This window comes from Homo sapiens, chromosome 3 (genome assembly GCF_000001405.40).
Source record: "Homo sapiens chromosome 3, GRCh38.p14 Primary Assembly".
In the NCBI taxonomy this organism is placed as follows: domain Eukaryota; kingdom Metazoa; phylum Chordata; class Mammalia; order Primates; family Hominidae; genus Homo; species Homo sapiens.
In genome coordinates this window covers 113,742,817-113,757,076 of record NC_000003.12, presented here as the reverse complement: position 1 = coordinate 113,757,076, position 14,260 = coordinate 113,742,817, and the positions used below count along the sequence as shown (strand labels likewise).

The following is a 14,260-nucleotide window of genomic DNA, read 5'->3' as shown; positions in this document are numbered from 1 at the left end:
CATAGAGATACTTTTTCCTTTCTTGAACAAGTGAAATATTGGGCACTGAAACCAAGTGTGTTATATTCAAAATAATTTGTGGATTTTATAACTCATCTAAATAAAGCTCCTCGCTACCTCATTTTGCATTACCTACGACTAGGACTCACGGATTATCAAAAACTCACTTTTCACAAGAAAGGACCCAGCTATTCCTCTATTTAGCTAGCTACCACACTCTTAATGTTCAAATGCAATCTGATTCACTATTTAACTATTTGAACACTCTTACATAATTGCTTTGGTACATAAAATCAGCAACTTCACAATTATTAACAATTACAGCATTTTACTTTTTCAACAATATCTATTCAAACTTCGATTGATAGAATTTCAATGTATAAATCACATTAAGGAGTATTTCAAGTTATATCTAAAATACTTACTGTTATTTGAAAGTAGTAAGTCCAAAGGTCACACCTCTCATACTGACATTGTTACATTAATTCCATATGATAGTAACTTAAGCTATTACATGATGGTAGATCACACACAATTCAGGGATGCTAGAAATGTTAAAAGCACACCTTCCAAAGACCCAAGCTAAATGGCAGATTTTGGCAAATTACTAAGGACAAAGGTGAACTTCTGAACATCCCTAAATTGGAGAGCAATTTGGCAGTGCCCACCAAAATTCAAATTGTACTTACCTTTGACATGGCTAGTCCATTTCTAGGAATTTATTGTAGATGTACAAAATGTTCTATTAACAAAATATTAACTATAGCACTGTTTCTTAAGCAAAAGATTGGAATGTCCATTAATATGGAGGCTGGTTAAATACCTTGTAATACTATGACAGGCTACATGTTTAGCGGTATTATGGCAGCAATCTCTGGAAAGTGACTCCCTGGGCTCTAATCCTGAGCCCTACCACTTATAAACTGTGTGACTGTTGGACATTTAATCATCCCGTGCCTAGTTTTCCTCATTTGTTAAATATAGAAAAATAGTGCCTATCTCATAGGTTGTTATGAGGCTTCCATGAGTTAATAAAACTAAAGTATTAAGAAAGCATTTGGATCAGGAGTAAGCTCTCAATAAATGTTACATATGATGATGAGGGTATATTAATACAATTGAATACTAAACTATCATTAAAAAGAATGAGGCAGTTTTAACTGTATCAATGTGAAAAGATCTCCAACGTAATACTCAAGCGAAAAATGTAAGGTCCAGAATAATACGAAGAGGTGCTACCATTTGTGGATAAATATATGGGGGAAGAAAAGAATAAGGATGAGGGGAGAGAAAACACACTTGTATGAATATATAAATTTTACCATATTTGTACATGTATTACCCATTCAACTGAATTAAAAATATTGTTGGATGAGTAAATGAATGTTAAAACAACTGAGCCAAGTAAAACTATTATATATTGCACCTAATTGACTGAGCAAATAATAGCACATATTATTATTACATATATATTTTTCTGAGACAGGGTCTGGCTCTGTCACCCAGGGTCTGCAGTGGCACGATCTCAGCTCACTGCAACCTCTGCCTCCCAGGCTCAAGCAATCCTCCCACCTCAGCCTCCCGAATAGCGGGAACTAGATGTGTGTGCCACCACGCCTGGCTAATTTTTTTTTTTTTTTTTTTTGTACAGACATGGTTTTGCCATGTTGCCCTTCAATTCCTGGGCTCAAGCAATCCGCCTGCATCGGCCTCCCAAAGTGCTGGGATTACAGGTGTGAGCCACTGCACCCAGCTGGCAAATATATATACGGTCCTTATGTGCTAGTTATTATTCCAATCGCTTCTATTATTCACAACATCCAATGAAGTTAAATACTCTTATTATCCTTATTTTAAAGTTGAGAAAAATGCAATGCAAAAAGACACAAGTAACTCCTCCAAAGTCACACCACTAGGAAGCAGAGCCAGGATTTGACTCACACAGTCTGGTTTCCTTCATCTCTTTGTTATATTAATACTACTCTAAAATTATTTTTATTTACATATATCCCAACTCTTGTAAAAAAAACTTTGGACAGCTTACATTAAAGCACATATATGCAATTAATAAAACTGGTAATGAAAAGGGGAAGTAATACCAATGTGAGAAAAAAATACAGCTACTTTAAGTATGCAACAAATCCAACTCTAAAGCATCTGCTATTTTCTGTCTAGGCTTTGAATGATGTATTCTACGGAGATACTTTTAAAAGGACAGAAATCAAGTATTAAACAATTATAAGTACTTTTTATTTTGCTTCTTTAAAGAAGTTCTTGTTTAAAGTTTTCTTAAGGCAAGTTAATCTTGTAATCCAGTTTATATGCCAAAACCCAAATAGGGACTTTTCTTATGATTCTGTCATATGATTAAGTCAGGTGACAGATCCCACACTTGTGCAATGTGCTCTACACTCTAAGGCAGAAAGCGTGTCGATAGCACTGACTATCCATACCAAAAATAACATGCCAAATTTGTAATCCTATCTAGTAGTCCCTATCATTTTTTGGTACATTTTTCTTTTCTTTTTTTTTTTCTTACTTTTGAGACAGGGTGTCGCTCTGACGCCCAGGCTGGAGTGCAGTGGCACATTCGCAGTTCACTGAAACCTTGAATGCCCCGGGATCAAGTGATCCTCCCACCTCAGCCTCTTGAGTAGCTGGGACTACAGGTGCATGCCATCGTGCCCAAATAATTTTTTTAATTTTTAGTTTTTACTGGTAGAGGGGGGTCTTGCCATGTTGCCCAGGATGGTCTCCAACACCGGGCTCAAGCGATCTACCTGCCTCAGCCTCCCAAAGTGCTGGGATTACAGGCGTGAGCCACCATGCCCAGCCTGTTTTTCCTAATTACAGAAACACTTCATGTCCACTGTAAAAATAAAAACATATAATGTAAAGTGTAAGGAAGAAAGTAAATCATCTTAGTGCCCATTGTTTCCCATAATCCATCATATACACAGACATGTACAAACATGTAGTTTTATATAAATATGTTACTATGGATATTCTGTCTCTTTCCTTTTCTGCTTATTTCCTCTTTCCAACGGTGACAACCAGGTAAAAATATACAAAACTCATGGTGTTTTTCAACTGGTTTTATAAAAAATGAGTTATCATTACAAATGTTTCTCTGTACTTTGTATTTTTTTTTCTTAAGATACATGATGGCCTGGGCAATAAGGTGAAACCCCGTCTCTACCAAATATACAAAAAATTAGCCAGGTGTGGTGGTGCACACCTGTAGCCCCAGCTACTCTGGAGGCTGAGGCGGGAGGATAGCTTAAACCTAAGAGGAGGAAGTTGCAGTGAGCCAAGACAGCACCAGTACACTCCAATCTGGGTAACAGAGCAAGATCCTGTCTCAGGAAAAAAAAAAAAAAAAAGACACATGATAGAAATCCTTTCAGAATGTACTTGGAAATCCTTTCTAATCACCAGTAGATTTAACTCCTACCATTTAATCACTTCACAACATTCCATAAAATGCCTCGGCCATAATTTACATAACAATACCCCTATTAACAGGCATTCCCTTTGTTTCCACGTTTTTTGCCACTACTAACATTGAAAATTGAAACACTGTTGCAGCTAACACTCCTGTAAACTCTTACTGGTGCTTTTATTTCTAAGGAAAAGATTACATGGAGTTAGACTGATGGGTGGAAAATACATGTATTCTCAGTATTAACTGATGTTGCTTGATTGTTTACTAGGAAAAACTCTAACACTTCACATCTCCGCTAGCATTTTATGAGATAATCCTTCTCCACATATCCCTGCTAGCAGTAGGTTTACCACTTAATTTTTGCTTGTCAGAGAAATAATATTTCATTGTTAGTATATTGATTACTAGTAAGGTTACACATCCTTTACTGTTTGTTGAATGTTTGGATTTCTCTTCTGTGAACTTCTGGTGACATGTTTTATCCATATTTTTACTGGGTGAACTTTTTCTTAATTGGAAAGAGTTCTTTCAATGGTTAACTCATCTGTTACATATATCTCAAGCCTTTTTTTCCGCCTGATTTTGTCTTTGGTCCTTTATTTTTGCCACTAAAGAATCCTTCGTTTCCATGCAGTCTCATGTGTCTATCCATACTTTTATGACTTTTAGGTTTCCTATCTTGGTTTAAAAAACTACATCTGGATTGTTTGTATAAAGGAAATTTAGGAGATTAATATCTTAAATATTTTATTGTTTACATTTAAGCCTCTAATCCATCTGAAATCAGTTTTTGCATCTGTTGCAATGTATTGGATCAATTATATTTTCTTCTAGATGAGCAAGTTGTATCAGTTAACATTTATGATATATATGTGCCCTTTTTCACCATTGGATTGAATTATCCCTTTGAAATGTGGTAAATTATCTTATATACTGAGATTTACTCTGCTTTTTAAAATTCTGCTGCACTTATATACTTAAAATTAAAAATATATTTACACACCTATAAAATTAAATAACTTACTCAGCTACCTGGATGAGACAAAACATTTTCACTTAAGATATCCAAGTAGTTAAGATGAAAGAATTATTTAGGTGCCTTAATTTTCCATATCAAATTAAGAAATATTTTGCAATGCCTACTGACATTATGAATTCAAATATACAGAAGGTATAGTAATAAATTTTAATTTTTTCTTTAATGCATCAATCTAGAGATAATTACTTATTTTGATGCATTTCCTTACAACTTTTTCCATATGTATATACTATTATTATTATACATATGCTCTTTTTTCAATTTTAAAGGTATTTTCCAATTCAATTAGTCTTCTCTATTGTACCTTTAAACATTAAAAAAATTAAACTAAGAACTAAAAACTTATAAAGTCTGGTTGCTTTTCATTGCTCAAGCACATCTGAAACTCTTCTATATCATATCATATACCACCCATTTTATTTTCAGTGAAATAAGCTTAATTATTTTTCAGAAAAGAAACAAAATGTGGCATGTTGCAGATAAAATTTTTTTAAAGGCTTACCAAGAGAACAGTTTCAACAGATAGCATTAAGATCCAAAACTGAAATTTTTGTTGTTAGTCATAATAATACCAAAAATAATAGTGATTTTTAAAACCTTAAGATATAAGAAAGTGTTTCCTTCTAAAATTTAAATCTGAAAATACTTATGATATACCATTAATTTTTAAAAACAGCTAATCACAGTTGTAAATTTATTAACTAGAGCTAACTACAAAGAAATATACAGAAAGAGGAGTTTCAAATGTAAATAAATCATTATTCTAAAGATCACTTCAGTAGTTTCAGGTAAAAATAAATATGTTACTACGAAGATACACAACCACTTCAGCTGTCTTTATATATACATACACACACATTGCGTACTTTATATACTACAAATATTTACTCTATATATAGTATATACATAATATGTATATACTAAATATAAATGAATACACTTATAAAAACCAAAGTCGCTATCATTTCACCATAGGGAAAAAAGAGAATAGCAAAACTAATATTCTCTTCAGAAATTATATGGAAAACATTTTTATTGCTCACATTTCATTTATTTAAAATAAAGTTACTTAGTATAAAGAATAAATTCATTCCTAAATCAATAAATCCATTTGTTATAATAGACAATCAACATTAAGGAAAAGTCAATAAACTTAATAAAATCTTTCCTTAAGACAAATGAGTAATTTTTTTTTTCAGGAATAAAGTGATTCATAAACTCATGATAGCTATACTTACTGTTTAATTTGCTGATATTTTCCATTGCAAAACTACTAACCCTTGTGAATCATGAATTTAAGAAGGGAAGAATTTTACTCTAGTTTATGTCTCCATTATGTTCTCTACATTTCTTTGTCTATTTCATATAAGGATAAAAATAAGATATAAAAACACTTAATTTTTTTAAAAAGACAAAATTTTTAAGCTTATAAGCATTAACTCAAAAGTCCCTGCTCTACAATCTGTACAATTTTAATATACTTCTATAATCCATTGCAGGAATAAAAACTTCAAAATTGAAGAACTGCCTCCTTAAATTTATTCCATACATTAATGATTACAAGCTTTGGAAAATCTTTATATAGAAAATATTAAGACACTGCAGTTGCCCAAATAAGGGACTTTATCTTGATATTTTTCAGATAAAATTAATAAATCTGTTTTAGAATCTTTGCTACAAGTACACTTTTCTTGTTCCCCCATTTTTTGGGTAATAGCTTCTTTTCAAATTCTACTCTCTTCTTCATGCCCCAAACCTGCTGCTCACAGGGACATCAGTCAATTCTGTGGGTTGTCTTAAGTCTTTAGAAATTCAGTATATAAAATCAAAGTAGTTATCAGTAAAATTAATTAAAAATTTTTTTTACAAAATATGTTCTAGGCATTTTACATTCATGATCTAACTTAATAGCACCATCTATAGATTTAAACGTGAGAAAACTTAACCTTACTTAAGTACACTGTCCAAAGTCACACAGTTATTAAGTGGTAGGGCCAGAACTTCAACTAGGTCTCTATGACTGGGAAATCAATTCATGTAAAGTCTGAGCTACACTGCTTTACCATTTTACACACCACTTAGTTTTTTTTGTTTTTGTTTTTGTTTTTTTTGAGATGGAGTCTCACTCTGTTGCCCAGGCTGGAGCGCAGTGGTGTGATCTTGGCTCACTGCAACCTCCACCTGTCGGGTTCAAGTGATTCTCCTGCCTCAGCCTCCTGAGTAGCTGGCACTACAGGCGCGTGCCGCCATGCCTGGCTAATTTTTTTAATTTTTTTAAGTAAAGACAGGGTTTCACCGTGTTAGCCAGGATGGTCTCGATCTCCTGACGTTGTGATCTGCCCGCCTTGGCCTCCCAAAGCACTGGGATTACAGACACCACTTAGTTTTTAAGATATTTTCACATAGATTACCTAGGGTTTATGTCATAGGAAGGTTCCTAAGTATCAAACCTGAACCCCTCCCCAGCATTACGTAAAAGGACATATAACTAAAGTGGCAGAGCTGAATGAAGATCCTCTGACTTTTAGTCTAGTGCTAGTCCACTTATAGATCACGCAGAGCCACTTTTTCATTTAGTACGATTCATTCCTCTTCCCTTCTCTCCCATATTTTGATGATAACCATACTTATTAGTAAACAAACATGCTGTGAAAATAAGTTGGTCTCAGCATTAATAAAGTCCATCTGAGGTTTTTATCTATTGTATTGACCATGAATTTGGAAGGTTATTACCAGTTTATATTTAAAAGCTAACATTTAGTGCACAACTTTAGGAAGAGCTATGATCTGCAAAAATTAAAGTGGTTTAATTTCTTTGTCTAATTGCCCAACATTCATTCAATAAATAATTTATTGAGTACCTATCAGGTACTTCAGTATTCTGGTGCTGAAGACACAATAGTATTATAGTTCACAGTCCTGAGAGCTTTATGATTTGCTGAGGAAGAGCCCAGGGAACAGGAATTAAATACAATGCTAGAAGTGCAAGTAGAAGAATAGAAAAGATGATGATGATGATTAGTAGTAGTCTATAGGACTGAGTGGCTACCTCTGCCCATGGGGAAGAAAGCATTCTTAGTGGTGGCAAAAATCTATAAAGGCACTGAAAACAAGAACTCAGGAAAAGAAAACCAGAAGTGCCAAGGGCCCTAAAATAAAACCAAACCCTTATGCTTTATTTAATAGTGGACTATAGCACAATTCCCTAATAAATGTTAAGATTTCTACATGTAACACTCATAAACTGATAAGGCTAGTCTCAGAAATGTTTTCCAGGCTTCCAATCGTGTGTGTGTGTGTGTGTGTGTGTGTGTGTGTGTGTGTGTGTGATCTGTGTATAATGTCAAAGCTTTTTTTCACATTTAACCTTACTAGCAATGTAATCACCAATTCCCACTACTAATCTACATTTCATCAGTGGTCTAAGTTATTGCTTTCACGAGTTCCCTAAAACTGGGGGAATTGTGAAGTAAAACTGCAGACTCATCCAACCACTTTCATACTGACATTTTCCCCTCTAGTAGTCAATGCTTCTAGCTGGTTTTCTCTTTCACATTTTGGTCTCAGCCAGACAGGACTAGTTAGGACTTCCAGACCACATAAGGAATTCTCCTTACGTGGTGCAATGTCACCTGGTCACTGAAGTAACACTTCCTTTTTTTCTTCCCCTCTCCTCTAGAGATCAAGGAACCTTATTATGGAGAAAATTAATGGATAAAACTACATATATATATCTACAGCAGGCATGATGACATAAATATATCAATACATTAGTCTATTGTCCAGTATGGGTCGTAAGTACGAAATGCTAAAATGGTAAATCCACAAGAGATAGTAGTAATCTTCATTACTTGGGGAAAGCAACATCTCCGAGGTTATGTTTTCTACTAAGGAGCATCAATAAGCTAGGTTATGTATTTTGCACTTACTATAAAAATACTTTGTTAAACTGCTGCTATTGTAGAATTTTAACTTTTTATTCTCCTTAACAAAATAAGACCGTTTATTGTATAGAATTTGGAAGACACAGAAAAACAAAAATAAATCAGTCACATCCACCAAAGATGATTCCATCTTCCTCATTTTCCAGCAGTCTTCTTTAATTACCTTAGTTAGAAAACTACAAGATTTAACTGAGCATATAATTTTTCATATTAAGAAAGGTGTAATTTAAATTTTAAAAATCAAATTTGTAATATTCGTAAGACCTTCAATTGAAAAGCAGCATGGAATTTTCTGAGTTTGCAGTATAAATAAAAGAGTTTAACCACAAACTGAAAAACATTCTTCCCTAAAGCACATTGTTTGGGATCAAAACATTGGTAATAATACATTATGGACGGAATGGGAGTACTTGGGTTGGACAACACCTGTATTTTCAATTGGACAACAATTTCTGTATTTTCACAAAATACTATTCATCAAAATCTGAAGAGGGCACCGGGAGTTTTACAAATGGGGAAAGCTAAAGAGGGATACAAATGCTACTTAACCTAAATTTACCACAAAGCCGATCAAGGAATAGATTGGGAGTGCCAATTCAGTAGTATTTTAGGGGAAAATGACAAAAAGGGAAGGATTGACGGCAGAAAACATGTGCAGACAGCAACATCTCGACTTGATTCTACCTTTAAGCATATGGCCAAATCAATTTGGTTTAACTATTTCCAACCCAATCAGTTTCTTATTTCGGTTTCAGGGAACCCTACTCACTCTTCCCTAAACCAGCCTGGGCCTCCTGCACACCACAACACCACAATACCATCTTTCAACGCCTCCTCATTCAATCGAGACTGTCGCATTACTAACACCTCCTGTTTTGAAGACAGTATTCCTTCAACTGTCCTCTCTGCAGAGAAGAAAAAGTAAAAGCCCTTCTTTTACTTTTCTAGTCCCATCCGAAGCACGTGAACATCTACGGAACCTTCCCTGCAGGTATGTCAGATAAAATCCTTAGAATCACTGAGAAAGCACATTCGGAGGGAAGCTTCACAGTGACTCTGCAGTGAGGGCCGTATCAGTGACAGTCCCTCCCAAGCCTGTCTCACCGGAGACGCCTCTGCCTCCAGGGTTTTTGCTACCTCCCCGCTCCTCAGCCCTGAGCTGAGGGTAAGGACAGTGAGGACCTTTGCCAAAGAATGGGCTTTAAGGAATGGGACCTAATGTCTACTGCAGACCCTGTGAAATGGCTGAAACAATCTGCTACCCGAAGCCCCAAAGGCTCTGAGTAGGGAACCATAATGGCCGCACTCACTTCCAACCCTGGGAAAGGTGGACATCTGAATCCCCAAGTAGCGGGAACGACCACACTTGGGGGAGCGGGGGTTAAGGAGAAATGAGCTCCTTGCCGGTGCAGGGTGACAGCGGGGAGGAAGCCTCAGGCAGAAAAGTCGCCGTTCACACTCTCCCTTCTCTCCTTCCTCTGCCTCCTTCCACCCCCTCTATCCCCACCACTCGCCAGTTACCGGTCGCCGCTCACCTGCTGGGGCGCGAGGTGCAGAGACTGTACCGACCGAGGACCCAGAGGCTGTCACCACGGAGGGGAAGTCCTCAGCTGCACAGGTTGGGGGGGGGGGGGGGGGCGGGCCCAACCAGTCACATGACGTCGAGCTCCGCCCTGCCTCCTCCATCCCAGCGCTCTACATCTCGGGGGGCCTGAATTTTTACGGATCCCTTGAATATTAATTTTCTTGGATTAAAGAAATAAAAGATAAATTTTCACAAAGAGTATGTTATAAAGTACAATGTGGAAAATGTGGACAGCAAGAGTTAAAGCGCATTGCTAAGGAAGTGACGTTCACGCCACAATCGAGGGACAGGAAATGGCGGTGGCGTTCCGTCCCTCTGGAGTCCGCCGGTAAAATTCCAGGCTCTGAGGTTTGGGCCAATCACGTGATCTTAAAACTTGAGGCGTGCTGGAGGGTAGCCAATCTATCTGGCCGATTGTTAACTACGTTTGTTTTAAAACACCTAACTTAAACTTGAGCTTTCCACAGATTTCTTTACATTTAGAAGAACTAACTTTATAAAACCCTACTAGGAGGCAACAGCGTTTGAAGGTCACTCTGGAGACCACAAACTGGGAAGAACGGGGCTGAGAAAAACTATCTTGCGGATATGGGACAAGAGAGGGAGGGGTGGAAAAATCTGGATTTTACCGCCAGGGCCTACCGAGCCAGCCCCACAAGCAGTGTCGTAAGCGGGTGGGAGGGAGGAGCATGACCCCAGAAGGCCCAGTCCAGGAGAAAGATGGAGGTTCCGGAGTGGAGGGGGCAGGGTGCGCGGAGGCGAGCAGTGCGGCTGCGCGTGAGGCGGCGGCGCGCCGGCGCGCGAGGGGCGGGGTGAAAGGTCACAGCGCGGCAGCGGGTCTGGCTGGCGGCAGCGGCGGGAGGGAGCCGAGAGACCCGAGTGCACGTGTGGAGAAGCGGCGGCACAAGCGCGGCGGCGGGAGACACTCCCGCCCCCACCAGACTCAAGCCCTCACTCGACTCTCGCGGCCTTCGTTGCTCGCACAGCTCCCTGCCCAGGCTAGGAGGCCGGCTTGCGGGGTTGAGTGGCCCGAGCTAAGGGTGCGGAGACCTAAGGGCGGCGACTACGACGGCGTTGATATCGGTGGTAACGACGGCCTCAGCAGGCGGGGAAGATGAAAGGGTGAGGAAGGGCAGCCGGGCAGGGCCCGGCCGGTGGGGTAGAAGGGTCCGGGCCCATGTAGAGGGGGAGAGCCGCAAAGGCGAGGAGAGATTCAGGGCGAAGACGGGCGGAGGGAGATTTCTCTGCTTCTCAGTTCCCTCGGCTCCCGGAGGGGGCGGAGGCGAGGCTCGGGCTGTTGGCGGGCTGAAGGGCCAGCGGAGGCAAGACCCGGGGGGCTTCAGGGTTTCGGTTCGGAGACGAGTGTGGGTTGTTGAGTGGGGAGAAGCGACCGAGTGGGGCAACATGGAAAGGCTATTGTGAAGCGCCCGGGGCCTCCTTCCCGGGAGCGGACCGCTGAGCCACGCCGGCCCGCAGCTCCAGGTGGAGTGGTTTGGTTGTCTTCCACCTCCAGACTCAACTCTGGAACTGCGGTGTTTGACACCTTTCAGTTTAATTCACGCTTGGGAGCTGTGCAGAACCTTCTGGAGGAAGAAGAAATTGGAATAAAGAGCACGGGGATGAGTATTAAGAGCTAGTGACTCAACTAGATTTGGGTTGGGTCACAGCGAGTGGAGGAGGGGGAGAGAGCGCGATCACTGTAGACTTGGGGTGCCAACATATTTAAGGAAGTATAGGGTGGATCAGTAGGTGGAGCTGTTGCTTCAGTAGTTCACTATTGCCCCTGAGTGCTGAGGCGGTCCTGGGTAGTTCTACCACGCTGCTCCTTTCAGGTGATTGGCAAAGTTAATGTTCGGTCTTTCACCGTTTGCCTCTTACGTAAAATTAGGAATTATTTTGGATCGACTGGTTAAGTTTTTATGAAATGTCTCCTTACCATTAAGTTGTATAGTTTTAATGTATTAATTACGTAACATTTTTCCGAAGCATTGTCTCAAGCCGTTTTGGAGCTTGTCTTTACCCTCAAAGAGATGAAGCTCATAAACGTTAAAAAGCTCTCTGCGATGCCATAGTTTGTTGTTGTAAGTCGATTAAGAAGTCGTAACTATGTTTTAAGTTAACGAAGTCATTCCAACTATTCAATAGCACTTTTGAGGATGAAATAAAAGTCACTTTCAACGTAATCTCATACTGCCCCAAACAAGGACCTAAATATTACCTCTGTGTATCGGTATTTGAGGTTCCTGAAGAGATTCCAAGAAAGTTTAATTTGGTCTTAGGTCTGTAACATGTTTCCTTACTTTAATTTTCCTTTAAATACTGGATATTTATTCTAATGTTGAATTGTATGTTTTGTACTAATAATCTTTAAAGTTTAAGAACCATGAACTATTCACAGTACCTGCATTGTTTCACATCAAGTTGTAAAGAGTTCCAGTTAGGGAAATATAATTGACGGGTATAGGAAGTATTTGCTCCACTTGAATCATGATCTTGGAAGTTTGGCTATTTCAGATACAATCCAACATATTTGGAGAATGTTGTTTTTCTGCTATACTGCACTCCTTTTGTTTTGTTCTTTTCATTTTTTTTTTTTTAATGAGGCAGGGTCTGGCTCTGTTGCCCAGGCTGGAGTGCAGTGGCGCTATCTCGGCCCACTGCAACCTTTGCCTCCCCAGCTCAAGCAATCCTCCCGCCTCAGCCTTCCGAGTCGGTGGGACCTCAGGCGCGCACCACCACGCCTTGCTAATTTTTTGTATATTTTGTAGAGACGGGGGTCTGACTATGTTGGCCAGGCTGGTCTCAAACTCCTGAGCTCAAGCGATCCACCCACCTCTGCCTCCCAAAGTGCTGGGATTACAGGTGTGAGCCACTGAACGCGGCATATACTGCACTTCTTGAACATGGTTGCTGACTCTTACTCATTTTTGTACTCATTGTCAGGCACTCAGTACTTGTTTGTCATGTTCTGTTAAGTAAGAAAAATGAGGCTGAAGAGTTCCCAGTGTTGAAATTGCCATGGATTTACGAAGGGGTTGCCAGGAAATTATTCTGTATGTTTAGATCCAAAATCTTCAATCTAGTTCAGTCTCCATAGGCTGTGATGTTCTTTCTGATACATAACTTGGCGATAGAAATGAAGCTGAACAGTCATATTATTCACAATCTACCTTGAATTAATATATTCATGGAGCAATTATCTCTGTTTAAAATGGGTATTTACATGTAACCTGATGAAGGCAGATCCCTAGAAATAACTGGCCGAATTTAGAGGAAACTTACAACTATTGAATCTGTACCTTTATGCCAGTAACTATGCCAGTGAAGTTCCTATTACTTCTTATGATTGGGAGCTTAGAATTGTGTTCTTTACTGTAAACCTTTAAGATGATTTCACAGGAATAATCCCTTTAACTTAACAAATGAACTAACTCCCAGATGAGATGAAACTTTTTAATTTTTTTTGCTTCTAAGTCTGTATTTAAGACACTCAACAAATGAGTTGTGTGAATCTTACTTGTGCTTGTTCGGATACTGAACCTACAACAGTATAGGTTTAAAATAAGTTAAGCGCCTTGAGTTCCAAAACTTGTACCACAGTGCACAGTGTGGTCGATTTTAAAGTCCTGACTCTTAATTTGGAATGGCCTGTAAAAACGAAACAGTGGTCCTGGTTATGTGGCTTTTGTATGAAATTTTATTTGCTAAGTATTCTATTGTATATTGAGGTAAGTAAACAGTAAATTGAAATATCTAAAATTGGAAACTGCGGAAGTCCCAACACGAAGCCAGTCAAATATTTAAAATTGTACACTGTTGCCTATGTTGCCTATCATATTGAAACTTAAAACTTAGCTGGTTTTTCTTCATATTTTTACCATGAGTATTTTTATTAGTAGTAGCAGTAGGACTTTCCATTGTATTGGCATGTCTTTCCTCCATAGAAGATAAATTTCCGGTTATTAACTACTGAATGTAATTTATATGCACATGTAGAAGTTTGAGATATACTAGGAAATGTTGCTTACTTTTGAGGTTGGCTGTTTTTATGAACCAGGGACATTGTAGTTTGAATTTGTGGGTGATATTTTTATCTGTTCTTCTCTAGGGAAGGCGATTTCAAGCAAGAAGGTATGCCACAGATAACCATGACTGAGGTGGCAATGTAATTAGGCAGTGTAATGGAAAGTATAATAAAACCAAATCATTTAGCCTTCAATTGTAGTAAAGAGGTGCAAATTAGTTCT

The 14,260-nt window shown here is 38.7% G+C and overlaps 2 protein-coding genes across 4 annotated transcripts in view, besides 6 other annotated features; one reads left to right on the top strand and one right to left on the bottom strand.

Annotated features, from left to right (window-relative positions):
• ATP6V1A (ATPase H+ transporting V1 subunit A) overlaps positions 1-10,042 on the bottom strand; it is a 65,022-nt gene extending 54,980 nt beyond the window's left edge. For both annotated transcript variants that reach the window (XM_047448306.1, NM_001690.4), the window contains exon 1: positions 9,964-10,042. The gene's annotated coding sequence lies outside the window, so the exon portion shown is untranslated. The remainder of the gene's footprint in view (positions 1-9,963) is intronic.
• Positions 9,776-10,511: an enhancer, noted in NCBI's record as "NANOG-H3K27ac-H3K4me1 hESC enhancer chr3:113465413-113466148 (GRCh37/hg19 assembly coordinates)". NCBI's record gives its function as "activates a minimal SCP1, AML or CMV promoter by ChIP-STARR-seq in naive H9 embryonic stem cells {active_cell/tissue: H9 hESC(naive)}" and the evidence as "EXISTENCE:reporter gene assay evidence [ECO:0000049][PMID:30033119]".
• Positions 10,085-10,454: an enhancer, noted in NCBI's record as "active region_20262". NCBI's record gives its function as "activates an Ori minimal core promoter by ATAC-STARR-seq in GM12878 lymphoblastoid cells {active_cell/tissue: GM12878}" and the evidence as "EXISTENCE:reporter gene assay evidence [ECO:0000049][PMID:35858748]".
• Positions 10,512-11,247: an enhancer, noted in NCBI's record as "NANOG-H3K27ac-H3K4me1 hESC enhancer chr3:113464677-113465412 (GRCh37/hg19 assembly coordinates)". NCBI's record gives its function as "activates a minimal SCP1, AML or CMV promoter by ChIP-STARR-seq in naive H9 embryonic stem cells {active_cell/tissue: H9 hESC(naive)}" and the evidence as "EXISTENCE:reporter gene assay evidence [ECO:0000049][PMID:30033119]".
• Positions 10,805-10,924: a silencer, noted in NCBI's record as "silent region_14610". NCBI's record gives its function as "represses an Ori minimal core promoter by ATAC-STARR-seq in GM12878 lymphoblastoid cells {active_cell/tissue: GM12878}" and the evidence as "EXISTENCE:reporter gene assay evidence [ECO:0000049][PMID:35858748]".
• Positions 10,828-14,260, top strand: part of NAA50 (N-alpha-acetyltransferase 50, NatE catalytic subunit) — a 29,792-nt gene continuing 26,359 nt past the window's right edge. For both annotated transcript variants that reach the window (NM_001308445.2, NM_025146.4), the window contains exon 1: positions 10,828-11,135. In NM_001308445.2, the coding sequence (NP_001295374.1) occupies positions 11,128-11,135 (8 nt within the window). In that variant the 5' untranslated portion in view covers positions 10,828-11,127. The remainder of the gene's footprint in view (positions 11,136-14,260) is intronic.
• Positions 11,248-11,984: an enhancer, noted in NCBI's record as "NANOG-H3K27ac-H3K4me1 hESC enhancer chr3:113463940-113464676 (GRCh37/hg19 assembly coordinates)". NCBI's record gives its function as "activates a minimal SCP1, AML or CMV promoter by ChIP-STARR-seq in naive H9 embryonic stem cells {active_cell/tissue: H9 hESC(naive)}" and the evidence as "EXISTENCE:reporter gene assay evidence [ECO:0000049][PMID:30033119]".
• Positions 11,495-11,644: an enhancer, noted in NCBI's record as "active region_20261". NCBI's record gives its function as "activates an Ori minimal core promoter by ATAC-STARR-seq in GM12878 lymphoblastoid cells {active_cell/tissue: GM12878}" and the evidence as "EXISTENCE:reporter gene assay evidence [ECO:0000049][PMID:35858748]".